This window comes from Homo sapiens, chromosome 6, assembly GCF_000001405.40.
Source record: "Homo sapiens chromosome 6, GRCh38.p14 Primary Assembly".
Taxonomy (NCBI): domain Eukaryota; kingdom Metazoa; phylum Chordata; class Mammalia; order Primates; family Hominidae; genus Homo; species Homo sapiens.
This window is the reverse complement of record NC_000006.12, coordinates 25,753,239-25,781,211: the sequence shown is the minus strand read 5'-3', so window position 1 is coordinate 25,781,211 and position 27,973 is coordinate 25,753,239. Positions and strand designations below refer to the sequence as shown.

The window sequence follows — 27,973 nt, the reverse complement described above, 5'->3', positions numbered from 1 at the left end:
CTCTTTCTTTTCTTTCTTTCTTTCTTTCTTTCTTTCTGCTAATCATCCTCCAGCTGACCATTAAATACTGGAATTCTTTAAGGCTTATTCCCAAGCTTCCTTTTCTTATGCCACTTTCACCCATGGATGACTCATCCATGCAAAAATTGTAATCACTACCTATATCAAGATGATTTATACGTTTGTAAATGGAGCCCAGGTCTCACAAGAGAAATCCAGAGTCATGTGTCCATTTTCCTTCTTGTTGTCTACACTTGGATATAATTGCTATCTGTGTTGCTGTCTGTGTTAGAGGCATCCCCATTAATATAATAGCAAACCAAAACTCAGGAGTTACTCTGGACATCTTTCACTCTCTCACTTAGTAATAGGACCCGTCAGGTTTATTCCCTAAATCAAATAATCCACCTAAATCAAATAATCCATTCACCTCTCACCATGTCTATTGCCTCATGCCAGGGGCCATTGTTCTCTCCTGGACTACACTGTAAGCTCCTACTCCAACCTAATCTCTCATGCAGAGTGCCTTTGAAAACCAGGACACTTCCTACTGATTTCAAAATAAAGACCAACGCACTTCACTGGGCCTACATCATCCTGTGTGCTCCTGACCTTAATTCTTCTACAGTCTCCTCACAAATCATACTTCCCTTATTCTCTATACTCTGGCCATAGCTAATTTCTCCCTCCTGCCATGAAACTTTTGCTTATGCTGTTCTTTCTTCCTAAAATATTCTCCTCTCAGTCTCCCACAACAGTTAACTATTATCCTTCAGATCCCAGCTCAGCTGAAACTTTGCAGGGGTGGCCCTTCCTTACACTCAGATTAGTGCACTTATCATCCACTCTCATAACCCATGTAACCACTCATTATTTCTACAGTTGTTATTACATATTCACTTGTGTGATACTTTGATTAAAGTTATCTGCCCTCCCGAGACACTGAACTCCTTAATACTGTGTATGATTTGATTTCTGCCATCCACACAAGGTGTGTGTACATTAATATTCATTTAGTGTTGAAATGGTTTTGCTATCTTATGATCCTCCATGCTGCCCATATAGGGGCTTTAACAAAAGCACTACACACATTTCTCCAGACATTTGGAGTGAGGTTAGGGCAGTGTGTGTCTTACATACATCTTTGGGAGACATTTTAGGTTAATGAGGTGAATGTTGAATGGTTCCACATTGAATTGAATCCTACTGAATGGTGCGTGGGATTCCAACAGTCAGAGGGGCAAACGAAGGCAGATATCATGGGTCACTGTCCAAAAGCAGTGCTACATGAAGAACTGTTGGAGGGGCTAGAAGAGACACTGGGCAATGTCTGTTCACTAACATGTTAAAGATCTGCACAAAGCCAAAAAGCAGATGTGGGGCAGAAGTCAAGATGGCCAGAAAGAAGGTAACTGTCCAAAAGCTAACTCTGGAAGCACAGGTATTCCAGAGGCGGCTCTGATTCCAAAGCTGGCATCCACAGAATGCAAGTTGTCTGAAAGAGTTAAAGTGTACTATCTTGCTCCCATTAGTTGCAGACACGTTCATTCCTCTTATCATGATGGAATCATTATTGTTCTTTCCTCCTTGACATTTTTCACCAACAATGGAAAACACTATGCTTTCTGTTGTTTGGGGCTTTCTTTTGAGGACAGCTCAGAGGATTCATGTTCTGCATGTTGGGCGCAACTCCCTTGTGATTCTCAGTTCTCGGTCCCAAGGTCTGGCTTCCTCTTTTGCTTTGGAAAGAAATTGTCCCCAGCCCCTGATGCTTTTACTAGGATAACAGTGGAAGAGTGGAGAACACAGAAATCTCAACACACCTATGCTTTTAGTAGCTTGCAGTTAAATAACTAGCGTGTTTTCTTCCCCTGTAAAATTTCCAGGCATGGTAAAATCTTTAGCGTTACATAGTCAGGGTCTAGCTAATGGCTTATCAGTCAAGCAGGCATGAAAGAGAAATGTCTGTGAGGGAAAACAATGATGAACTAAGCACCAGGATCTAGCACATCTCTCGGTTTGCTCAGAGGTGGGTGAATGTCTGCTCTTTAGCCCAGTCCTGCACATCTGCTCGGCCAAAGATGAGGTAGAAAACCAGGCCCGATATGTTAACAGCAGCTGAAAGCAAGAAGACATTTCTCCAACCAAACTCTGAATCCTGGAGGCAGAAAATTACAAGTTATTAACGGTCACCCAATTCCTGTCCCTCTTGGTTCAGAAAGGCTTTGGCTCTGTGTCCTCCTGCTCCCTCCCCGACCTCCACTCTGGCTTCCATGGGCTTCCCAGTTGGTCCTAGAATACTCAAGTACATTTCTGCCATGAGTCCAAAGCACTGGGCATTTCCTTGGCTGGAACGCTCCTCCTCCAGATACCTATTTGTCTCACATCTTCACTCCCTTTCAGTCCTTGCTTAAGTGTTCTTTTTAAGCAAGTGATTACGGTGAGTCCTTCCTTGATCATTGTAGTTAGAAATTCCACCCCTTGTGCTTTATTCTCCTCTTAGCATTTGCTAAGCATTTGCTATTCTCCTGTTACCATTCAATATGTCATATATTTTACTTCCATAGATTTCTTTCTGTTTCTTTTCTACAATATAGGTTTCACAAGGGAAGGAATTGTGTTTCATTCACTTAAATAGCACGTAGCACATACTACTGTTTAATATTTATTGAATGAATGAATGAATAAGTCATTGAATGACAGGAGAAACAAGAGCAGTTTGAGAATTTCCATTTTAAACAACCATTTCCTGACAGTATGCTAGTGCCTGGGAGGGAACTGAAGCTTCAAGAAAAGAGAAGGGACTTGATTTCATAAAGAATACTCTTTCTTTGTTATTCTTCATTTATTTTTCTGATTTACCAGTGAAAAACCACAGGAAAGTCATTCTTTAACTTTCCTGTGGTTTTTCACCAGTAAGTGAATGGTATATGGCAGTGTTTTTTTCCAGTAAATGAAGTATATGGCAGAAAATAAGAATGCCACATACTTCTTTATTCATGTAAAGTTTATACCAGTAAGATTCTTAGGAAACTTAAGAATCTTAAGTTTCTTTAATTCTTAAGTCATCATGTAAATTAGTTTATTTTTGACTACTTTAAAAGCATCTTCTAGGATACAAGGCCGTGCATATGTGAAAAAACCATGCCTCTATAGGTTTCTTTTATGAATATTCATCAGAACATTTGACCTCACCTGACTGATGAAAAATCCAGCAGCAGTAGGAGAGATGGCTCCAGCTATGTGTGCAAAGACTTGCAATAGTCCTTTGAGAAAGCCAGTGTACCTGAGAGAGAGAGATGGTACTCTATTATAACCAAGTATACCTACGTTTGAAAGTCTCAATACCCGGGAGAGGGAGGCAAATATTCCTGTGCAAACAAAGGGTTAATATCAGCTGGTCTGCTGCAACTCTGTGCTTACCTCTGGAGATGACTGGAATTGTGTAAGCCTTGGTGAAACCTGAATGAAATGTACTGACCAATGATTAGTATAATCCTGTGCTAGGGACTGGTACTCCCAAGGGGGTAACCTCTATTAACTTGTCAACATTGTTTATGCAAGATGGTCAGATTGATGGTCTGCACCTGGTTTGTAAGGTTTTTGTTGTTGTTGTTGTTGTTGTTGTTGTTGTTGTTGTTGTTGTTTTGGCTTCTGCTGTTGAGTCTGATCTTGTAACTTTTATACCCTCCGTGGGTATAAAAGACCCCTCACCAGATGAGACGTCGGCTCCCCTGTGACAAGGGCATCTCTCACATTTCTTGGTGGTTCATTATCTGAAGATGAAGGATGTCCTGTTGACTGGGACAGCACCCTGGGAGCTATGTTTGGAAGTCTCAGTCAACTGTTTTTACTGTATCAGAGACAGATATTTCTCCTGCAGTCCTGTGTCCTTTGCCTTCATTAAAGATTTTCATGAGCATACCCTATAGAATCTCAAGATTTCTTTCAGTGATTCCGCCTTAGGCAAGTGCTGCATTCCTCAACAGAGAGAGGTTTGTGTGAGTCTCCCTCAGTTGACTCTGAGCATGGCCACTGACTCCTCTTGTTCACGCCCAGAAAAACTAAGTTCACAATGGTCCACCAGCTTTGAGTCTCTTCCAGGAATTATTTAGATGTAGGATGTAGAGCTGGTGCTGACATTTCCTGCAACCTGTTGTACCTGCCACATTTTACTTTCACATCAGAGTAGATTTAGGGCTGCTAGACTTGAATTGAGTGTCTGAAAGGATGAGGCAAAAGAGGTCCCTACCGAGGAGCAATATCCAAGAAGTTAACAAGGGCTCCTGATTCACAGAAGCTGCTGATGGCAGAAGACAGCACCAAGAAGGTCATGGTCATGCTGTGGCTGGATCTGACCCAGGGCAGGGACACGAGGATCACGGATGGGAAGAGAACCCCTGGGGTAGGAGGACAAACACAGAGTAAACTGAAGGCTGCTCTGAGCTTCCCACGTTCACCCCTGTGTCCAGTCTCTCCCTTACCAATGGCAGTGAAGAGTTTCCTGATGGTGATGAGTCTGAGGATTTTTCTGGAGAGAAGAAAGTCTGCCAGTAGACCTCCAAGGATAATGCAGATACATCCAACAACAAACGGCAAGGCAGACAGGATCCCACTCTGAGGACCAGAGACTAGGTCAGGTGCATGTGCCCTTACCACCCCCACCACGACACAGACAACCTTGGACAGACTGTCCACATTTGTGGCTTTTCTTTATATACGCATCACTTTTAATACAAATTCCATGTTACTATAATGAGCCAATATACTTTTAGTATGTATATGTTCATAGCTCTGCTTGCAAAAAAAAAAGAACAAGGCTCTCTTTATATATAAAAATCACCTGGAAATAAATATTTAAAAGACCAAAACCCAGTACAAAAATAGGCAAAGGGTAATAACAGACAATTTAAAAAAGAAAAGAAGAAAAAAAGAAAAATAAGTGGCTCCTAAACATGTTAAAAGGTATCCAACTTTACTCATAATGAAAGAAATACAAAGTAAAACTATGGTGAGATATTATTTTTCATGGATCAAATTGGCAAAAACACCCATTTTTTTTTGGCATGCTCTGTGCTAACACTGTGGAGAATCAGGTTCTCACAAATATTACTGGTGCTCTATTGAGGGCAATTTGACAACAAATATAAAAGTTTATAGTGCATTTACCCTTTGACTCAATAATCTCATATGCAGAAATTTACTCCACAGAGGGTTGCACAAAGGTATGAGAAATGAACAAGGTTTTCACTGCAGCATTGCTCAAAGATGGGAAACAATCCAAATACTGCTCAGCAAGGTTCTCATGTACTGATATGAAGATTTCCATGACATATTAATTGGCAAAAACCTAGTATATAAGCATAGCGGCATATTACTAAGTATACTGTTTTGTATTTTAAAAGTTGGGAAAATAAGAATACACATTCATGTATGCTTGCATTCTCATAAAGAAACAAAGAAAGAATATATATAGGAAATTTAGGCCAGCCATGGTGGCTCACACCTGTAATCCCAGCACTTTGGGAGGCTGTAGTGGGAGGATCACTTGAGCTCAGGAGTTCGAGACCAGCCTAGCCAATATAACAAGACCTCATCTCCACAAAAAATTAGCCAGGCATGGTGGTACACGCCTGTGGTCCCAGCTACTCAGGAGGCTGAGGTAGGAGGATTGCTTGAGCCTGGGAGGTCGAAGCTTTAGTGAGCCATGAGTGAAACACTGCACTCCAGCCTGGGCAACACAGTGAGACGTTGTCTCAAAAGAAAGAAAGAAAAAGAAAAAAGACATAGAAAGAATTATCATTGGAATGGGCTGGGAGGACAGGGCAGATTAGGAACAGTAATGAAAGAAAGATTTTTCAGTCTTTCTATTTTTTTTTTAGACAGAGTTTAGCTCTTGTTGCCCAGGCTGGAGTGCAATGTCATAATCTCGGCTCACTGAAACCTCCACCTCACCAGCTCAAGCGATTCTCATGCCTCAGCCTCCTAAGTAGCTGGGACTACAGGCAGATGCCACAACACCTGGCTAATTTTTTGTAGTTTTAGTAGAGACAGGGGGTTCACCATGTTGGCCAGGCTGGTCTCAAACACCTGACCTCAGATGATCCACCTGCCTCATCCTCCCAAAGTGTTGGGATTATAGGCATGAGCCACCACACCTGACCCACTCTATGTTTCAATATAGTTTTTAAAATGTTGAACCTTGTTGTTATCAATTAAACTTCTAAACTAAAATTCTATCGAATATAATGCAATGAAAAGGAGACTCCTCTGTTGTATATAATCCAAACAATGGAAAGGATTCAGCACTCACCTGGTTCAAGTAGTTCATTTTACAGATGCGTAAGCCGAGGCTGTCAAGGTTATGTGACTTTGTGAGAAAATGCCCTGAAGGCAATGAGAATCCAGGTCTCTTGACTTTTTAGCCTGGAAAGCTCTGCTTTCTGGTCACTACTTGTCTTTCCATTCATTTTCCCATTTTCCTCTTCCTCAGCCTTGGCCTCTGAGGGTCAAGCCCACCCAGCCTCACACCAAAGACAAATCATTCCCAACAGCCAGCCTCAGGAAGTCTGTTGCTTAGCACTGGACTCCTGCTTATGTGGTGTCCCAATCCCCTGGATTAAGGTTCTGGTTTAATTTCTGGCCCTCTTCCTCTTTGAAAAGACCCAGAGCCACTGCCTCCTGGGGCTTTCTAATCTCAGTGCCTGCAGCCTGCTTGCATGCAGATGCTGACTACTGCTAAGAAGGTCAGCTCTCTGTTGGCTACTTAGCACATTTTCACCAGAGGAACCCAATCAATACGAGAAGGCTTCTTCCTGAGTACAGAGTGAGAGTACAAGAATAACACTGGCTTTGTGAACTGTCACTAACATGTTATGAAATCTGATAGCCACTTTTAAGACATCCATCCAGCAGGAATTGAAAGGCTCCTGTCAGCCATTCAGAGTATCTGTCTATTTTGTGAAAATTCAGAGAGCTGTACACATATACACACTTTTCTTTCTCTATGTTATACTTGAATAAAAATGATTTTTTAAAACAAACATTACTCCGCAAATGTCTATGTAAGTCTTATTTGGGACTTTATGTCCTATTAATGTCTTATTTTCAGCATATGTTGTTTATGTTTCTCTGTCACAATTTTCTCAAAGGCAGAATTTGTTTGGTTAATCTTTATTATTTATGCTGCCAGCAGAGCATCTTGTTTGCAAATTTTGATGGGATTGAGTATAAAATTTTTGCACAGGGCCCTTAAAATATGATAAATATGAATAGTATATATGAAAATAGTATAATAAAATATGATAGTGTATGAAAATCAAACTAGAACCATATGTATCATCCTCCTGCAGTAAGTAGTGAACCACATTGAGATCAATCAGAATCCAAATTAACTAGATTGCATTTCCTATATGGAGGTCCTGCCTGGTCCTAATCCCCCGATTTTGTGACTATGGGACAGACAGAGGATTATATATGAGCTCTCATTATTTAAGCATTTAAACAGAAGATCAGAATGAGCTTTCTCTGTACTTACATCTCTGAGGTTGGCTTGAAGTACCGAGCTGATGTACGTTGGTGTGTACGCCATAATGGTATAAAAAAGCCAGTATTCACAGAAATAAGAGACTAAAATGGCCCAGAGTGGTAAGGATTTGATCATAGCCCTAATGGGAAGAGACCAGCCTGGTGAACAGTCCTGGAAGAAAGCACACATCAATGTCCCCTCCGTCAGAAGGCAGCTCTCTCTATCACATTCTTCATCTCTCAGACGTCTAGAGGGACATAGAGAAATGTCAGAGGAGTTCCTCAATGTACCTGCTGAGCCAATGAACACACAATGTATCTCTTCTCACCAGCACTGATAAAGGGATGATTCACAGGATCATCATAAATGAGAGGAAACCAGAGAGGACAACAAGCACAGCCAATTCCTCCTAGGAAAAGGGGATCCAGTTAGCACTGGATGGATTGAAGTACTTCTTTCAGTTTGACTCTAAGATGATTCCTGTGGTTGACAGAGTGACTGGCCTCAGTACACCACTCTTCCTGGCATCTATCCCTTGCATGGCCCTATCATGGGGGAGGGTACTTCCTCACCACTTGACTTTGGCCTTGGCCATACAACTTGCTTTTGCCAATGGCATGGAGGAGTTTCAAGCCTAGGCATTAAAAAGGATTTTTTTAAACTTATCCTCTTGGGTCTTGCCCACTGCTATTGGAAGACTATGCTCCAGCTCATCCATTGACCAAGGCAGATGACAGACACAGAGAGTGGAGCCACCCAGCTGTCCCACAAAGAACCATGGGAATAAATGATTATTGTTTTAAACCATTGAGTTTTGGGAGGTTTTGAAATGAACTATTATTAAAGCTATAGCACCCTTACAAGTTAGTAGCGTGTTTGCCCCACGTGCTTGAAAATGCCCTCACCATTCACGTACCAGTCAGCATCCCTCCTGCTAGTCATGCTTTGCAGAGTTCCTTTCATCATTAAACCTTTCCATATCTATCTCTTATCTTCCTCAAAGCACATAAGAGTGAGCAGCAGTACATTATGTGAAATTAATTACCCAATTTGTAGATATGAAATGAAATGAATCCTCAGCAAAGACATTTTTTCTAATATATACATTATTACAGAGTTGGGAATTTAACATTATCAGTATTGAGTGGAAATATGGCCCATCTTCAAATTCCCTTTTTAGAATCTTAAGAAATCTTATGAGCTCTCTTTGTTTGGCTAGCATGTCATTTACAAATTCCTTCACAAACATCATACAGCAGCCACTATACACCACGCTTTTTGCTAAATTTTGAGAATATAAAATGGCGAAGACACAATTTTGCCATCAAGGAACATAATCAAGTGCGGAGGGATAGATATGAAAATTAGCAATGTTGCACATTGGGGTTGGAGGATGTTAATATTTATTCAACAAATATTTAGTGAGTTTCTATTGCGTATATGCTCCTTACTGTTTCTTGAAACCATAAGCACAGTAAGATTTTCTTGTTGTTTGAATAATTTTTGTAACCTGCCCTTTCAAAGTTTTCATGATAAAAACTTTAAAGGTTGATATGCTATGGAATCATTACATATTTTATTTTTGGTGAATATATTCACCTGATTTTACAGAAACCCTTGATCTAACAGGCCTGTCCTCTAATGAACACACTAGTGGGACTATAAGGTATTACCATAAACAATTTAGGGGTGCGATTTTGGAGAATGTTTCAAATATTAAACAAACTAAAGGTAACAGCAGCTAGGCAGATTCCAACCACAGCTCCATGAAGGTAAAACTGTAACGTAGTAAAATACTGCCTCTGGAACTTTCCAAGTGTCTTTGGAACCTTTCTGCAGCATCTCTCTGTGTATTATGTCCACTTCTGAACCTCACATAATCTGCCCTGTCCTGCAGTCTCCACTAGTTGATTCTCTACTCTAATTAGTATTTTACCTATGATTAGGTCACAGTCACACAATTTTCTAGCTATGATATTAGATTGGTGCAAAAGCAATTGTGGTTTTTGCCATAATAATAACTGGAGAAATTTTAAAGAATATATTAAATTAAAAAGCATGACTAAAATGTAATCTGACTAAAATAACATTTTCTTTTTTTTTTTCTCTTGAGACAGGGTCTCACTCTGTCACACAGGCTGGAGTGCAGTAGTGTGATCTTGGCTCACTGCACCCTCCACCTCCTGGGTTCAAGTGATTCTCCCACCTCAGCCTCCCGAGTAGCTGGGATTACAGGCATGCACCATCACACTCGGCTAATTTTTATAATTTTAGTAGAGACGGGGTTTAACCATGTTGGCCAGGCTGGTTTCAAACTCCTGGACTCATGTGATCCACCTGCCTCAGCCTCCCAAAGTGCTGGGATTACAGGCATGAGCTACCACGCCTAGCCTAAGATAGTATTTTCAACATTTTATGAGATAATTTGCTCTGAATTCCTTTAGGTCAAATTTAGAAGCAGTAAGGAATGTTATGATGCCTCTAATGTCATAAGATTATTCTAGCTACACACTCGGGCTGCTGAAACTTAAATGTTAAATGTAGTTGGCTCTGAACACTACCAGCTTTAGCTATGTAAATATCCATATCTATTAGGATTTGGTTAACCATAGATAAATTGCATCACAGAAGTCTCTGTCATAAAAATTGGAGATTTGAAAAGCACACTCACCAAAGATATAGAAGACGTAAGGCCATCCTATGGTCTGGCAGAGGAGACCACCAGCAAGTAGAACAATGAAGGACCCCAGCATTGACCCTGAACAGAAGAGGCGAGGATGTTCTGGGTGAGAGGACTCGTCTTGGGGCTCTATGTGCTTTCTACAATGCTGAGTTGCACAGTGAGTGAAGGTATGAGTTTCAAGCCAAACTATCTAGGTTCCTTCACTTGGTAACTATGTGATCTTGGAGAAGTTATTAGTCTGTTTGTGTCTGAAATTCCATATGTGTGAAATGGAAGTAATTATATATAGCTGACTTATAAAATTATTTTGAGGATAAGATGAAAATATGTGCAAAACACAAGAATGTTTGGCACATAGTAAGCATTCAGTTTATTCAGTTACAATCAAGTAAGGCAGTATGGGGTAGTGCTTTAAGGAAAGGACTATGAAGACACAGAGATTGATATATAAGATCTTGGTTCTGTTGGCAGGACTTTGCTGAGTTCTCCTGGACAGTGCATGTAAAGTGAGGTTTAGGGTACCAGTTACCTGATCCAGCAATGGTGGTGAGTTGACTCCTTTCCAGTGGGGGAGCCCATTTGACCCAAATTGAATACTGACCAGTTAATACCATAACCTGGGGGGAAAAATTCCATTCTTGGAGATCTGAGGTCATTCTGGAACCTATATTCCACTTATACCTGGAAAACATCTTGGTACCTGGGCTATGCCTTGTACAATCCGGAGGACAATGAGCAAGGCCACTCCCGCATTAGCTGCCAGTGGAATGAAGAGGGTCAGGAATGAGGAAATAAACAAGCCAGCACCAACCACATACTTGGCTCCAAATATTCCAGCCACATAGCCACTGGGGATTGGAGCCAAGAATGAGCCATAGTTGAGGGAGCTGAGGATGATTCCCTGGATTTCAGGACTCCAGTCATATGCAGGGGCCTAGATGACAAAGAGAGTTACTGTTTGTCTTTAGTTGAAGGATTGACAGTTTTCATTGTGAGGACTTGAGAGGCAAAAATTAATTGGCAGTTATCTTTCTGTTTACATTTCTCCAGTTCCTCCAATATACCAGTATCATGTATTTAAAAACCCTAAATATATGCCCAATATACTCTTTCCGCTCACCCTGACACAACTAACCAAAAATTAAAATATAAGAGAGTTCGTAAAGAAACAAAGACTATAAAGAAGAAAGCATCATAAGCAAGGTAGTAAAAAAAAAATACGTGGAAGGAAGAAAAAGCAGACAAATCTGTGAAACATATTTTGTAGTGATTTTCATCATTGTAGGGGAAGAATTTATGTCCACTAAATGGTAAAATGTTTCATTTATTCTAACTTAGTCCCTGGTTACACTCATATGCACTAAGTAGGGATGCAATCCCCTTAGATACTTATTATGTTCTTTATTCCTTTCTTTTCTTTCTTTCTTTCTTTTTTTTTTTTTTAAGACAGAATCTCACTCTGTCACCCAGACCGGAGTGCAGTGGCACGATCTCCGCTCACTGCAACTTCTGCCTCCCCAGTTCAAGAGATTCTTCTGTCTCAGCCTCCAGAGTAGCTGGGATTACAGGTGCCTATGACCATGCCTGGCTGATTTTCATATTTTTAGTAAAGATGCCTCACCCTCCCAAAGTGCTGGGACTAAAGGTGTGAGCCACCATGCTCGGCCTGATACTTAGGTACTTGTGCCATTCCTGGCACATAGTACATGTTCAGTAAATACTTAGTGGTTAAATGAATCTCACTCTTTTATAACTCTTTAAGTCAAATTATTTGAGTCAAAGAAAGAGTCCAGAGTCTCATTAAACTTACCATTGCTTTAAATTCTTTTAGAGTTTCATTCCAGTAGCCCTGGGAGTCAGTGGAGGGCCGTTCTGTGGAAGCATTGGGCTGGCTAGGTGGGGCTGTGTTGTTCACCATAGCTGGGATGGCAATGCTCAAGTTCATTTGTTGGGTGTAAATTGAAAAATTACAGAGCTGCAAGATGAGGGCCAGCCCATGTCGGACTGAACAAAAACCTGAGAGGAAAAGGGCATGAAAAATCACAATCAGAATGCTTTTCTCCCACTCTCCCTAAGTCTGGAAGAAGGAGAAGATTGGTATCTGTCTGAGATGCAGAAATATAGGGAGAGCAGACATTCCTCTGTAGGTGTGTAGTGGAATTTTGTTCCCCTGGGAGGTAATGGGGGAGGTGGCTCCCTCAGAAACATTTCTCAGAGACTTGAAGAATGTGTGGAGTTGGTCAGAACAAGCATTAGGGGAGAGCTTTTTAGGCAGGGCTCTGGGATGAGAAGATTAGAATAGGAATGGGAAGAAGTGGATTTAGAGAAAGAATTGGCTGGGAGCAGTGACCGATTGGGTATGGACAGTGAGAGAGAGGAAACTGCTGGAGATGACTCCCAAGTTCCCTGCTTGGGCAGCTGGGATAGCTGGAAGTGCCATTTATAACCAGGAAACATGGAAGATTAGCTTGTCTGGGGCTGGGGAGAGATGAAACTTGAAAGATAGGCTATGGTTAGATCATAGAAGTATTTAAACTTCATCTTAATACTATAATCTATGCTTACACAAAATTTGCTAGTGTTCCATAGGAGCTCTGGGGATATCCCTGTGGTTGAGTCCATATACATTAGTTTGACAACAGCGGGAAGAATTCATCCACTATCCCTGTAGAGAAATCCCAGAGGTAATGTATGATCACAAGGTATGAAGATGCCATTTTCTTGGTTCCTGAAAGGGAGCAAATGCTCTTGGAATGGACAGCATGGTTTCATTTTGTGTAGTAATGCTCTTGCTAAGTTCTAGCTCTTACCTTTGGTTCAACTCTGAGAGCATTTAGTTCCCCATCCCCAACCCAGCCAATGCACCACCCATGAAAATCTACATTGGAATTTTGATCAGTCATATTGATATGACAGATTAAATTAAGAAGGATTGCCACATTTGTAGGATTGTCTTCTAGTCAAGAAGAGATACCTACCCATGTACCAGTATTGGTCTTTTACTCAGTCCGAGGTGGAATTTTATAGTTATCTTCAGTTAAGGCCTTCACAAATTTTGTAAATTACTTTTTATTGTTGTGTAACTGTTCTTTTTCCTATCATATTCATCAGCTTTTCCCCCACTGAGTTTTGATTCAATAAAGAAAGACAAATTATGGACAAATAATGAAAAATATAGTTGATTATGTTTACCGTTTGCAACACGTATTTCATTCTCCTGGGTAATTTAATTCACCAGCATTTTCAAAAAAATGGACAAAGCAGGAATGGTAAGAATGGGCACCTCAGCTATATTTGCATTTACTGAGACTGCTTCTCACATTACACCACTAGGTATGCTGCTAGTTGTTGGTGTGACATGTCCTTTAATTATATTAAACTACTCTGTTCCTACTTTTAAATATTTTTATGGGGATACATAAGTTTTATAAAATGTATTTTAATCCTAGAATCAGACACCTGCATTCCAATTCCAGCTTGTGTGGTCTACTTATAGCTGTGTATTCTGGGGCAAGGTACTGAGCTCTCTGTGGCCCCCAAATTTTGCCTGAAAAATGAGATTAATAACAGAGTCTACCTCAAGGCACTGTGATAACAACTGAATAAGTTTATGTAAGTTTATTATAATTATAATAGCCTACCACCTTCGTATTATTGGGATGATCTCTTCTTATTCTTAATAGGCTATTACAAAATTTAAAAACATGATGTATTTTGCTAGCATTTTAGCTGGAATTTTATTTAGTATATATAGTTGAGCTTAAAATGTTGTTTATGTACATATGTATGTGCTATTTTTTGCTATACTAGCTTTGTTCTTTTTTAAAAGTTATAAGCTTCCATCTCAATCTGTGATCTGAAATGTTTTAGGTACATAGCCATTTTTCTTAATAAATTTTTAATTTTAGGACAGTTTTAGATATATAGAATTGTTGAGTTCCTCTATATCTCACACAAAATTTCCTGTTATTAACATCTTATGGTGCATTTGTTGCAATTAATAAACCTGCAGTGATATATTATTAACTACTAAAGTCCACAGTTTATTCAGATCTCTTAGTTTTTAACTAATGTCCTTTTTCTGTTCCAGAATCCCATATAGGGAGCCACATTACACTTAGTTGTCATGTCTCCTTGGGCTCTTCTTTGGTATGACACTTTCTCAGACTTACCTTGTTTCTAAAATGTATTCTAAATACTTTGTAGTCTAAAATGTCTAAAGACCTTGATAGTTTTGAAACGCACCAGTCAGGTGTTTTGTGGGGCATCCCTTAATTGAAATTTGTCTGATATTTTTCTCATGATTAGACTGGGATTATGTGTTTTTGAGAGGAAGGCCATGGAGGTAAACTCATTCTCATCACATCATATTAAGGCCACACACTGTCAACAAGACTTCTTACTGTTGAGTTGATCTTGGTGCCCTGGCTTGAGGTAGTGTTTGTCAGGTTGCTCCACTGTAAAATTACTCTCTTTTTTCTTTTTCTCCTTTTAATTTTTTGTATGAATTAATATGTACAAATGTACTCTGGAAGAAGTCACAAGCACCAGTCACACTTAAGGAGCAAGGAGCTAAGCTCCATCTTCAGAAGGTAGAGTGCTATATGAACTATTTGGAACTCTTCTGCACAGGATAAATAGGCATTTTCCTCTCCTTAAAAATCTCATATAATTTTTCTAGTGAAACTACTAGAATATATTTGTTTGTTTCTGTGTTTGTTTTAAAAGGAATAACTTTTTGACAATTTTCTTCATTTCTTAGTTGTTTTTTGACATGTATAATTTTTTCTTTATTCATATTTATAAATTAGAAACATAAAAATGTATAATTCTTAGAAATAATAATTTCTATAAAATTATAATTCAATTATATTTTAAATATTAAATTTTAATAAGTTAATTATGATTATGTAATTAAAGTTTTTATAATTATAAATTATAATTCCTAGAAAATCATTTACTTATGTACTTTCCCTATAATTAGCATATTATACATTTTCAATGCTTCTGTCTCCTATTTTCTCATAATTGCTTGTATTTAATCTCTCTGCCTGATTAATCTGAGTAGTGGATTGTTTTATTGCCTTGAGTAGCATCATTTTTATCAAAGAACCAGCTCTTGTATGTATTTTTAATCCAATTTTTTCATGATTTGAGTTCACATTATTTTCTATAAGTTGTCTGTTTCATTTTTCTATGTAATTTCTTTGAAGTTGTAGGCTCAGTGAATTGGATGTTTAATTAACTAGTTTTCATTTTTTATTACACAATCTTTGTTTTCTTCCTTTTCTCAAATCTATCTTCTCCTTGCTGCTACTAATTCCATTTTAACTCTGCAGTGACATTTTTTTCCTCCTTAGTTTCCTTTCTCATCTATATTGGGACTTCTTCCATATTCTTCTGTTGATTTACTTCCTACACTCTATGATTTTATTATTATTGTTATTGTCATTATTGAGAACTTTAAGAAATTGAAGATGAAAATATTCCTCAATTTCCCCGTAATAACGTAAGCACAGCAGTGTGATGTAAAAGCTAACAACAGCTGGTTTAAATCCAGCTGCTACCTCTTTGTGCCTGGATGATTAAGATGTGTTACTTCATCCCTCTGTGCCTGAGCAGGCTCCTACAAAATGGGGATGATGCTAGTAGCACTTTTCCTGAAGGATTGTTGTGAGAATTCAATGAATTAATACATAAAGACTGCTTAGAACAGTGTCTAACACAGGGCATGCACTCATTATGTGACAGCTATATAATGAACTGTTATCTTTCATAAGTGTACCTGTCAATTTCTTTTTTTATCTAACACATGCCTTATCTTATTCTTTCCTTTGCACAAACATATTTACGTAGGTTCCTTGTAGTCCACCCCTACAGCCTTGGACCATAAAAGCCAGTTGTGTGTGACTTTGTTCTCACATTTTGAAACCCCTGCACAGGGCCACCCATGCTGGTTTGAGGCCCAGCTATAATGTGGTGGTGTATGTGGGTGGGCTGGTGGCAGGGGTGGGGAGGAGGAGGTAGGGAATTCTTTCACCAATTCAAGGGAAGCTAACTACTGTACCATTTTAATTCTGCAATAACATTGTATAATTTGAGAGAAAGCCTTCCAAATTTCCAAGTTGATTTCTGCAGTTACTCATATTTTCCTCTGCTTTGTAGCACTGGCCCCTGATGCTAAATTGCAGATCAGAAAGGCCAGTGAAGCGTGAGGGGAAAGCTGCAGGATGTGGACCCATGCACGCTTCACCCAGCACATCCCAGCACTGCAGACCCTTGAGGGGCTCATGGGGTCTGTGGTCTGCCCAGCTTCTGGACACTGCCACTCCAAGCTGAGGAGCACAAGCTGAAGCTCCACAGCATCCTCTTTGTTCTTCCTATAACACTGCACCCTGCCTCAAGGATGGGAGTTTTATGAGCTCTTGGCTCCTCTCTCAATTTCTTCCAAATTGTATTAAATCTGTCTGCAAGATTTAGAGTTTGTAGTGTGTGGTAGGAATAATTCCTTAGTTTCAATCTAGTTGGAAGTACTTTCTCAAAGTGTTGTGCTTGTTTTATTCATTTCCATGGCTTTCAGAAGGGGATGTTGTTGTAAATTGTCCTTCAGATGGCATTCTTCCCCATGGTGGGGGGCAGTATATCTTTCCTGCAGGCATTTGATATGGAGAAAGGATACCGTCCCTGATATTGTTCTCAGTGCCTTTCCCACCCTTCTCTGGTCTCCACAGTAACAGAGGGACAAATATCTGGAAGCTACAATCCTCAGGATTCCATTCAGATTCCACAAATGAGGGCATTCTGGCCCAAGGTGGCAGGCCGAACTCAATGAGAAACCACTATGCTCTGGAGGCAGCTGCAGGTGGATAAGTGAGGATCAGTCATGTTAGACATGGGATTTCTGCCTGTGACTTTGGGGTGTCCTCCTGAAAAATACCCACTTTGTGATGCACATGGCTGGGATCATTGGCAGTGTCATGTCCTGGATTTTCTGAAAGTAACCAACCTGACTTTTGCTTCCCTAGCCTTCCAACGTTTGTGGAATCTTCCAGTCCCCTATATTAATCTTCTTTCTTCTCAGAAATACCTAGATTTGCTTTTGATTTTGTGATATAACCCTGACTGATACAGAAAGAAGCTCATGGACTTCTGGGGGAAAAGGGGATCAGAAGGTCAAAGTGATGTCTGTCTACAGCCTGGCCCCAGAAATCCCTAACTGACACTGATAGAGAAAAACTACTGATCTTCAGGCAGAACCTGAAGGCCCAGCTTTTTTCACTCAAGGTTTCTGGGTTATTGGAACAGTTACTTTGCATAAGCAGGTGACCAGATAATGGGGGAGGGGGCATTTCTCCACATCCCATGGAACCCCTGGATTCAGCTCACTGAGTGTCTTAGAAACACAGCAAAGATATGAGTGGCCTTTGGAGATGGGGGTACTGGTACCCAGAGAAAGCCCCAGCAGTGCCCTGGGAGTCTAATACAGAAGATCCAGCCATGTCCAGTAAGCATGAGCCAGAGAAGGGGATGAGAATAAAACTGATGTTGGACACCAACTGACAAAGCACTCTGCAAGGTTTATTCCTAAGCATTTGTGAGAAATACTTGGATACACAACAAAATAACTTGGTAAGGCTTGGAGGAGTAGCTGGGGTTCTGCCTTATTAGGTAGGATGAGACTACCAAAACAGGATGAGTGTTAGTAGCATGATGCTGTTTGAAACAACAGGCCAGGGTAAAGTGGGTTACAAAGTTGTTGTCTGATACAGCTATAGCCTGGAGTGGTCACCAGAGGACTGGGTGGCATGGTAGGCCAGATGTTGTAGGAGACTATAGAAGGAACCAGAAAGACCATAGAAGTTCCACTTTAGACAAATTATAAATGAACTTTCCAATGACTGCCCAAAGGTGGGCTGAGGAAGGGACACTATGTGAGTGGTAATAATGAGCTCATAAATGGCAAAATCAGGATTGGAAACTCAAGCATTCTGATTTCTGACCCGTGCTTTTACCCAGTATGCCATACTGCACCTTGGTAAAATTTTACACATAAGTTCTTCGTATTATTAATTTTAAGGGAGAGACAGAATGATAGGATAAAAGAATTTGGCCAATGGTATAGTCTAGTAGACTCTGAAATCCTTAGAAACAGATGAGACCTTCAGCCGAGACTACTGGAATAGTATTCATTCTGGGTCAAATGGTGACTAGTTGTAGGTTGAGTACTAACATGCACATTTCCTGATTTCTTCTGTGATGGTTGAGATTAGGAGAAATCTCTTTTCTTGAAGATATGCATAATTCTTAACAGACAAACTGGCTAAAATGTTGAGTATTACAAAGCATTCCATCTTGGTTAGGGTTTTGCCTTTTGAAGTCATTATCTTATGAAATGACTATATCCTTAAAAGAATTAATGGATAACATAGTTATAACTCATTAAGCATTTAGGGTAAAATAAGATGTTCTACAGTTTCCCTTAATGCATATTATAAAAAGCATGATGTTGTAATATAGATAAGAGAAAGGGAGAAAGGTGACTTCTATGACATGGTAGAAGCAAAAAGCCCATTTTGGGGTTCGGGGTCAGGTCTGGATTTAACATGAGCAGAGAGATCTAATAGGACATGTCTTGGACTTAGAATCAGACAAGCCAAGGTTGGTTTCTATATTTCCTACTTAGAACCTGTTCTGATTTTTTTCCTTCATCTCTAAATAATGTCATGATACCTGCCTGTCTTATATACCTTCAAAGTTTCTTATGAGAAATGAAATAATTATCAATAACAATGTATAACCGTATAGAATTATTGGCAATTGGTGGTAGCAAGGAAAATGATGTGTATCAACAAAAGATGCCACAGATCCTAGTTTTATTTAGTACCACAAGTTACAGTGCCACAGATCCTAGTTTTATTTACTACCAGATTACTGTGCATGATTTTACCTTTCCTGGAGCATTCCTCTTGAGCCACGTTTAAATTGCCATCACTGGAAATGTCCCCCACTGTAGCCTTGACATCTGGTCCGGTAGACATTTTGGTTCTCTCTTCCTAGGGACTGGCATTTACTTACTGAAATAAAAAGAATACAAAAGAAAATACAGGGAGAATCTTATATGATATTACCCCAATTCTTTCTAAGAACTAGGAGCAAATGTTGCTGTATAAGAAAAGTGGTAGATTAGGGTTTATGAAAACTAACTTGTCATCCTGGCTCTATCACTAACCAATTGGTTGGTCTTTGAAAGGTCGCAGTTTACCCTGGGTCTTAGTATTTATATCTCGCAAGTGAGAAATCTGGCCTGGATTGCCTTCATAAATTGTAATATCCTTTCTAGTTCTGTGTTCCCATGTCTCTAAATTGATACTAGTATCAAATGGACATGAAAACTTGACAACCTTATTTGAAATTTCATCTAGGAGATTCCAGTGGATTAAATTACCTGAAAAACTATTATAAACACCTATACATATTACATAAAATATAGCAAACACCCTTTTACGTAGCTGCAAAGACAGTAAGAGATATCTCCACCGAGTTAGATGTCTGTGCTAACTTCAGTGACCATGAGATTGGGTCACAGAAGCATCAATTTCAGTGATGTGGGGGCCTGAGATCTAAGTGCCTGTGGGGATGAAGGATGAAGCCTTAGGCCCATGCCAGGGAGGCGATTATAAGGGAGATTCTAATATAGAGTCAGATGCCTCACAGGGGTTCAAAACTTGGTTACAGAGGCTCTTCCCCTTTCAACAATAACAGTGACAACCCTCTTTGTCCTGAGTTATGGTTTGAAAATAAAGTACTTCACCTGAAAATTGTGAAAGTTCATATCTAGGTTATGGAGAATTGAGGGTTGGAATTCATACTGTCTTCATTGTCTGAGAACTCATCCCCAGCTAAAAAACTGACCAAAGAATCAAGCCCAGTCTGATTCACTCAAAACAGATTACACAGAATTACTGCAGATGAAGCTCTATATATTATGAGCTCAAAATAAAAAATTATAAACACTCAAAAAAGTGATCCATCCAAAACAAGTTTTCAGACTCAATGTGTAGCAAAATTAAACTACTGCGAACTTCCAAAAATAGAATAAACTGACAAAGACATTATGTAAGTATGCTTTAAATAATTGAAGAAATAAAATATGGACCCTAGAACATAAAAAGATACCAAAAAGAATAGGCAGATTTAAGAAAGATACTACTTGAAATACAAAAAAAATTAGGCATTAAAATTTGAAACTAAGTGACTAGACATAGCTAATGAAAGAATTAGCAAAATCAACGGTAATGAGCTATGTAAATTGTACAGAATAAAGCTCAGTGAGATGATGAGGGATGACAGCAAAGTTAAGAACCTGGAAAATGGAGTGAAAAGGTCCAATGTATGTTGAATAGGACTTCTAGGAGGACAAAATAAAGAGAACTGAGAAAAGGCAATACTTTAGGAAATAACGGATAGGAATTTTTCAGAAGAGATGAAACCACAAGATTTCTCAGATTCAGGAATCAAAATGAGTCTCAAGCTAGAGAAATGAAATGAAATTTACACCTAAACATATTTAAGGATACTGCAGGACACAAAAAGAGCAAAACTTATTTATAATAATAGATACCATAGAAGATCACTTACAGAAGGGGAGAAATTAATTACAGCATTCTATCAGATATGGAGTAGCATTTGCTCAACTTCTTCAAGCTAATAAAAAAATAAAATACAGTAAATTGGTAAAAAGTAGGAAACTATTGGAATAATATATGAATATAGATTAAGAACAAACATGGGAAAATGTGCTTCGCTTTGCTATCAAGGACATGGATATTAAAAGAACCAGATCCTATTATTTCTTACCTATCAGTTTTCATAAACATTTTAAAAAACTATGATCACCAAGCTTAGGCAAAAATGTGGGGAAATGAGCTATTGTTTGAGGGAGTCAAGCTGCATCCTCCCACTTGTATTGCTGCTTCACGGTGTGTACCAGAGACTAATAAGCACAGCCACACAGAATAATATGTTTCAGGACATTCCTTAAAGCAATATTTGTAAAAGCAAAAAGTCAGGAGCTAACTAATGATTATTTAATATTTGCATAGTTAAATGCAGATATTTTCTGAAATACTATACAGCTATCAAAGAATTGGATACATATATAAAAGCATATAAAGATTTAAAAGACAGGTAAACAACCAAGTATCTATAGTCTTCAAGAGATTCACCTAACATCTAAGGATTCACATAAACTTAAGGTAAAGAGGTGGGACTAGATATTCCATGCAAATGGACACCAAAAGCGAGCAGGAGTAGCTATTCTTTTTTTGTTTGTTTTTGTTTTGTTTTTTGAGACGGAGTCTCACTCTGCCGCCCAGGCTGGAGTGAGGAGTAGCTATTCTTACATCAGACAAAACAAACTTATAAGCAACAGCAGTTGAAAAAGATAAAGAGAGACATTATATAGCAACAAAAGGACTACAGGAAAATATCACAATCCTAAATATATATGCACCTAACACTGGAGCTCTTAAGTTTATAAAACAATTACTACTAGACCTAAGAAATGAGATAGACAGCAACATAATAATAGTGGGGGACTTCAGTACTCCACAGACAGCACTAGACAGGTCATCAAGACAGAAAGTCAGCAAAGAAACAATGGACTTAAACTATACCCTAGAACAAATAGACTTAACAGATATTTACAGAACACTCTACCCAACAACTGCAGAATATACATTCTATTCATCAGCACATGGGACATTCTCCAAGACAGACCATATGATAGGCCACAAAACAAGTCTCAACAAATTTAAGGAAATCGAAATTATATCAAGTACTCCCTCAGACCACAGCAGAATAAAATTGGAAATCAACTCCAAAAGGAACTCTCAAAGCTGTGCAAATACATGGAAATTAAATAAGCTGCTCCTAAATGATCATTGGCTCAACAATGAAATCAAGATGAAAATTAAAAAATTCTTTGAACTGAACGACAACCGTGACATAACCTATCAAAACCTCTGGGATACAGCAAAAGCGGTGCTAAGAGGAAAGTTCATACCATTAAATGCCTACATCAAAAAGTCTGAAAGAGCACAAATAGACAATCTAAGTTTACACCTCAAGGAACTAGAGAAACAAGAACAAACCAAACCCAAACCCAGCAGAAGAAAAGAAATAACCAAGATCAGAGCAAAACTAAGTGGAAATTGAAACAAACAAACAAAAAATACAAAAGATAAATGAAACAAAAAAGCTGGTTCTTTGAAAAGATAAATAAAATTGCCAGACCATCAGCGACACTAACCAAGGAAAAAAGAGAGAAGATCCAAATAAGCTCAATTTGAAACAAAACGGGAGATATTAAAATTGATACCAGAGAAATACAAAATATCATTCAAGACTACTATAAACACCTTTACGTGTGTAAACTAGAAAACCTAGAGGAGATGGATAAATTCCTGGAAATATAAAACCCTCCTAGATTAAACCAGGAAGAAATAGAAACTCTCTCTGCAAAGGAATGGGGAGGGTAGGAACGGCCATGCAGGCATTGAACTTTGTCTTTGGTGTTTACATGTGTTACAACAATAATGTAATTTGAATTATTACTGTAATTAAAAATAAATTTCAGGGACACAGGTAGGCTGAGATGAAAAAGGTGAGAATGTTTTTAGAGACAGTTGCTGGTATTCTCTGTCAGGTATTCACTCTCACTCCAGGAAAGAAAGGAGGAGGGCACTGCCCCGTCACTTCAAGTCAAATTATAGGAGCTGCCTGCAAGGAGGTCATTCAGGGAGCTTGACATATGTCCCCTATGTGTGTGTGCATGTGTGTGCATAAAGGTGAGTGACACATGCCTCAGAATCTAAGGGCATGAGGTGGTGACTCTTGGTCTGAGGCTGCAGAGCACAGCAAAGGTCTACACCACACTGGAGGCTGTGATACGTCCCACGGCAGCAGAGGTGAAGAAGCACAGGTGGAGACCAGCAGGTCCCTTGTGAACCAGATACGGATGACTCAGGAAAAATCCAGTTTACAATCTCTTAAATGACAACTGTCTGGAGAAGCCACACGACCCCAAAAGACAGGGCGGACTGCCTGATGCCCAACACCTGAGAAAGGAACCCTAACTGCTGAGTTAGTGAACACATATCACCCCTGACATGGGAGGACTGGTGGATGCCCCCAGTGGGGTACAATAAAGGATTCAGCATTGAACATTCATCCAACCCAGAGACCACCAATGCCAGGTCACAAGAGCTCCAGCTAAGAAAGACACTTCCTGCTTCTTGCTTCTAACTCCCTACCCACCAGCCCTGGAAAGATCAGAAGCCACAGCTAGCAAGAGGGGTGAGAGGAGTTGCTGACAGAGAAAGGGATCAAGAAACCAACCAAATGATCCCTTCCCTCCCCAGGCCCAAACTGGAGCAGCGGGTTGGGGGGCAGGGGAAAGAAGGTATACTTTTAGATCAAGTTTGGAATTTTCTGGTTTTCACTGGACTGGACCTATTAATTAAAAAATGAGATTATTTGAAGACTACAAATAAGCAATAAATCTATTACTACTGACAATGATCAGAGAAGTTACAGCACCAAGCAGATATAAAGTTACAGCACCAAGCAGATGTAAAGGAATAAAATGTAAAGGGATAAGCAGTAGGTGCTGGTGAAATGAAATCATTTTCCATGTGCTCTCTGTGAAGGACTATTCTTATTAATATAAAAGAAAATAGACCTGATCCTTTGGTGCTATTGTGTTTAAAGATAAGTGGAAATGTTATGTAACGTACCACTAAAGCTGGTAAGTAAGCAACTGACAGAGAAGTTGCCTCAATGATGTCATTCAAAACCACAGATGTTAGACCATGGAACCCTCTAGTCTGCACTGGAATTCGAAAACACACTCAAAATTGAATTGAAATCCAAACAAATACTCATTGGCAAATGGAATGGTTCTGGTAATTCTGAAAAGAAACTTGGTAAAATGAGGGGACTGAATAGTCTGCTGGAAAAATAATTTGCTTATCATTTATTTTCACACCTCAGGGCAATTAGTTGAATTGAAAAAATCATATCAGTCACAAGAACTAAAGACATAGCTTTCAGGGCAACATTTTTTTCCACAAGCTATACCCACACAGACTCTTCGAGTGTTCCAATGTCTAAGAGTTCACTGGCCGCAAGTTCATTCATTGATTCAGTAAATATTTATTGAATCAATGAATGCAATGTTGTGCTTTCATAGCTCCATCTCCTGCATGACTGAAGAACTTAGTTCTCATTAAATTGCCCTCTCCTTTTACTTATTATAACCAGAAATCAATTGCCAGTTTTTTCAGTAACAGGCGATAATGGTTTTGCTGGCGTTAATGAGAGCAGTGGGAACAGACAGCCGAGGGTGAAGGGAGGACAGTGCTGTTGTGGGGACAGCGTGATGCAGGCACAGACAGTACACCTGCGAGAAAGTTACATCCCAGGAGGGGCACATATGAAAAGAAAGAAGTAAGAATGCCACATGGTATGAAAAAAACAAGAGTAGCATTGACAGCAACTAGGTCATTAGCATCAGGAGAGGAGGGCAAGCACTCTGCCTAGTCTAACCACTTACCTAGTGTGGTTGTGTGAAATGGTTATATTTGAGCTGAAACGGGAACACTGAGAAGGAGACAGCGCTGAGCAAGAACAATTCCAGGCAGAGGAACCAGCAAGTTTGTCACGTTTTTCTAGGCAGAAGGTAGTCCAACATGGCGATGCAGAGTGAATGAGGAGGTTAATGGTAGGAGATGAGATCAAAGGGGTGGGCAGGATGGTCTCGATCTCCCAAAATGGCCAGACCATTTTGGGTCCTATAGGCCTGGTAAGGGGACTGGATCTACTATGGCCACTGTGTGGCACATGGGCTGTAAAGGACAAGATTGAGAACCAAGAGACTGAACAAGAAGTTGTTTCTTCACCTGTACAAGTGTTGATGGTGGATGGGCTAGGCTAGTTGTGGTGAAAAAGACCACATTCAGGACCTGTTTTGGAGATATGCCACTAAGACTTGCTAATGAGGTGTATATGGGAATGAGAGAAAGGGAAGAATCATCAGAGACTTCTAGACTTACGGCTTGAGCAAATGAGTGAATAGTGTTGCACTCAAAGAAGTTGGCGAAATGAGCAGGGAGGGCAACAGGTTCCAGAGGAAAAGCAAGAACTTTATTTTGGACACTTGGGGTTGAGACTCCTGTTAGACCCAGAAGGGAAGATTGACAGGTAAGTTTTGTGTCTGTGAGTCCATAGCTAAGAACAGAAGGGCCTTTGTAGAAATATAAATGTGTGAGTCATCAGCCTTATCTATTTATTTTGAAACCAGGTAAATGAGGAAAAAACAGCAAAGAAATGGAGCCAGCCATTCTTATATCAATTTCTCATCAGTTTTTCTTGCCAAGACTGCTTGTGTCTGTTCTTTTTGGATTCATATGCACCCTGTTCCTCTGCTAGTTATCAGTCCACTGTAGAATGAGACTTTTCCTTAAGGTGCTGGGCAGAGCTATTAACAGCTCAAATGTCATCTTAGGTGGTCTCAGCACTGAACATTTTTCCTCCTTATGAGAAACAGCCCATGGCTCTTATTCACAGTTTGCAAATAAAGTCCTCTGCCCTAAACTCTTCATCATTAACTACTTCCCAAAGCCATATTAGATTTCATTTATTTTGCTTTCCCATAAATTCGCTGGAACCAAACCAGAACCGTTTGGTTTTCATTAATTTTTTAGGCATGATGAAAATCTTCCTCTCTGAGAATTCAGTATTGGCATTTATTGTCTCACTGTGGATTTGATCAATGCTTAAAAAAATTAATGTACTTCACAAAAACAATCCAAATATATCATTTAGTTTCTGTCTCTTCCTCTCTCTCTTTCTTCCTCTGTGTGTGTGTGTGTGTGTGTGTGTGTGTGTGTGTATGTGTGTGTGTCTGTCTGTCTGTCTCTGTTCAGCTATACTTTTAGAAAATTTCATTCTCTTGAATTAATTCCCTGTAGTTCCAGGGCTCTTAATGCAACATCCCTTCTCACTTACCAGAATTATCTCAGGACACAGGCATTCTCTTCTCCACTCCCACAATCTCTGCCCCTAAACAGCAAATTAAGCTGCTCTCTAACAGAAACAGACCCATTCCCATCATCTCAAAAGCAGAATATTAAGGGTAAAAGTTTGAAAGCTAACTAACCTGAGGGAGGAAGAGTGCAGGATCCTCATTCCTTTCAAATAAATATTCTAAGCTCTTTGCAATTGTCTAATTCTGGGAGGTAAATAATTACCCAAAACCTTTAGCCCTTATGTTACCAGCTTGGAGAATTTTATTGGCCCAGTGGTTTAATTTTTAACTTTACATTTTATTGTTTGATTGATAATCAAATCAAGCTCATTAAATCTTCCTCATGCTTCAAGCCCAGCTGAGGTCACCTATGTCTTCCCTCATCCTTAATCAGAATCAATGTCCCTTCTTATAAGGATCCTGACACCCCACATGTTTCACTGACAGCACTATCCCCTTCTGGGGTCTCTCAGAGTTATTATAATCTTCATGGAGATGGGGTATATTTTGCCCCTTTTGAGTCCCTTTTCCACCATCCTGCTGTTTAATAGAACTGAGCTTTCCAAAGAGGAGAGACTTAATACATTTTGGTCGACTTGAGTGATTTTTATGGTTTTCTGATTGTAATTTTTTGCACAAAGGCCATTGAGTTTTCCATGAAAATTAACTCTGTGATTCTCCTCCCTTTTATGGCAAAACATTTCAGAAGACTCATACATATTTGCATTCTGGTTCCCCACCTCTAGTTTTCTCATGAATCCATCAGCAACAAGACAGCCCTTAGCAAAGCCATCACCAGCCTCTCTGCCAGCAAATCCAGTGGTCACATCCCAGGCCCCATCTGTCAGTGCTTGACAGATTCCACCACTCGTTCCTTCTTGATGCCTTGTTTCATTTAATTCATTCAGATCTGATTTTCCTCGTGTCTCATTGGTTGTTCCTTGTCAATACGTTTTGCTGAATCCTTATCTTTTCTCTGGTTTCTAATGTTGATATGCCTAAGACTCTGTCCTTGAACTTCCTCCCTATCTAAACTCACTCCCAAGGAGATCTCAGCCAGTCCCCTTTCCTTTCACACCCAATTCTGACCTCTTCTCTGAGCTTCGACTTCAACTTCATCCATCTCTCCTTGAGTACCCATTAGGTATCTCAGTCTTATGACTGCAAGCAGAACTGAATCTCCCTCCAACCCTACTCCTGGCCCAGGATCCCCCATCTTGGTTAATGGCATTACCATTTCCCTGTTAATCTTGCCAAAAAAAAGTCAGCCTTCATTCTATACTTTCCATCAACATTAATTCCAACAGTATGTTCTATCAGTTCCACCTTCATCTCTTTCCATTATTTTTTATTTTCTCCATTCCTATCACAATCATCTATCACCAGGGTAAATAAAATGATTATTTACCGGGCCCCACTGTTTCCATTCTCTCTCTTTTAATCCACCCCACATAGCAGGCAGAATGTTGGAAATGTACATATGATCATGTTACTTACTGGTGTAAAAGTCTTCCAAAGCCTTCCCAGAGAACCTAGGAGAAAAGAGAGCAAATTCACCTTCCTGAAGGTGCTCCAACACCTTACATCACCTTGGACACACCAACCTTACTGACCTCTGCCCTGCTGTCCTTCCCTCACTAAATTCCAACTAGTTCTGCCTTGTCCATGAAGTTCA

At 39.6% G+C, this 27,973-nt stretch overlaps 2 protein-coding genes across 21 annotated transcripts in view; one reads left to right on the top strand and one right to left on the bottom strand.

The window, feature by feature from the left end:
• Window positions 1–27,973, top strand: part of SLC17A1 (solute carrier family 17 member 1) — a 108,310-nt gene that overhangs the window by 50,841 nt on the left and 29,496 nt on the right. The gene's annotated exons all lie outside the window — the stretch shown is intronic.
• SLC17A4 (solute carrier family 17 member 4) lies at window positions 13–26,513 on the bottom strand. Of its 20 annotated transcripts, XM_047418034.1 has the most exons (14): window positions 26,431–26,513; window positions 26,280–26,333; window positions 20,850–20,915; window positions 19,159–19,285; window positions 12,022–12,227; window positions 10,912–11,145; window positions 10,741–10,828; window positions 10,200–10,286; window positions 7,819–7,937; window positions 7,538–7,699; window positions 4,485–4,617; window positions 4,253–4,400; window positions 3,196–3,286; window positions 13–2,158 (listed from the first exon to the last, which is right to left on the bottom strand). In XM_047418034.1, exons 4-14 carry the CDS (start codon window positions 19,247–19,249, stop codon window positions 2,024–2,026), a joined length of 1,494 nt encoding a protein of 497 aa, XP_047273990.1. In that variant the 5' UTR covers window positions 19,250–19,285; window positions 20,850–20,915; window positions 26,280–26,333; window positions 26,431–26,513; the 3' UTR covers window positions 13–2,023. The 20 variants fall into 20 exon arrangements, 17 of the variants coding, with proteins under 17 accessions (XP_047273990.1, XP_024302064.1, XP_024302063.1 ...); XM_024446296.2 differs by lacking the exon at window positions 20,850–20,915; XM_024446295.2 differs by lacking the exon at window positions 26,280–26,333.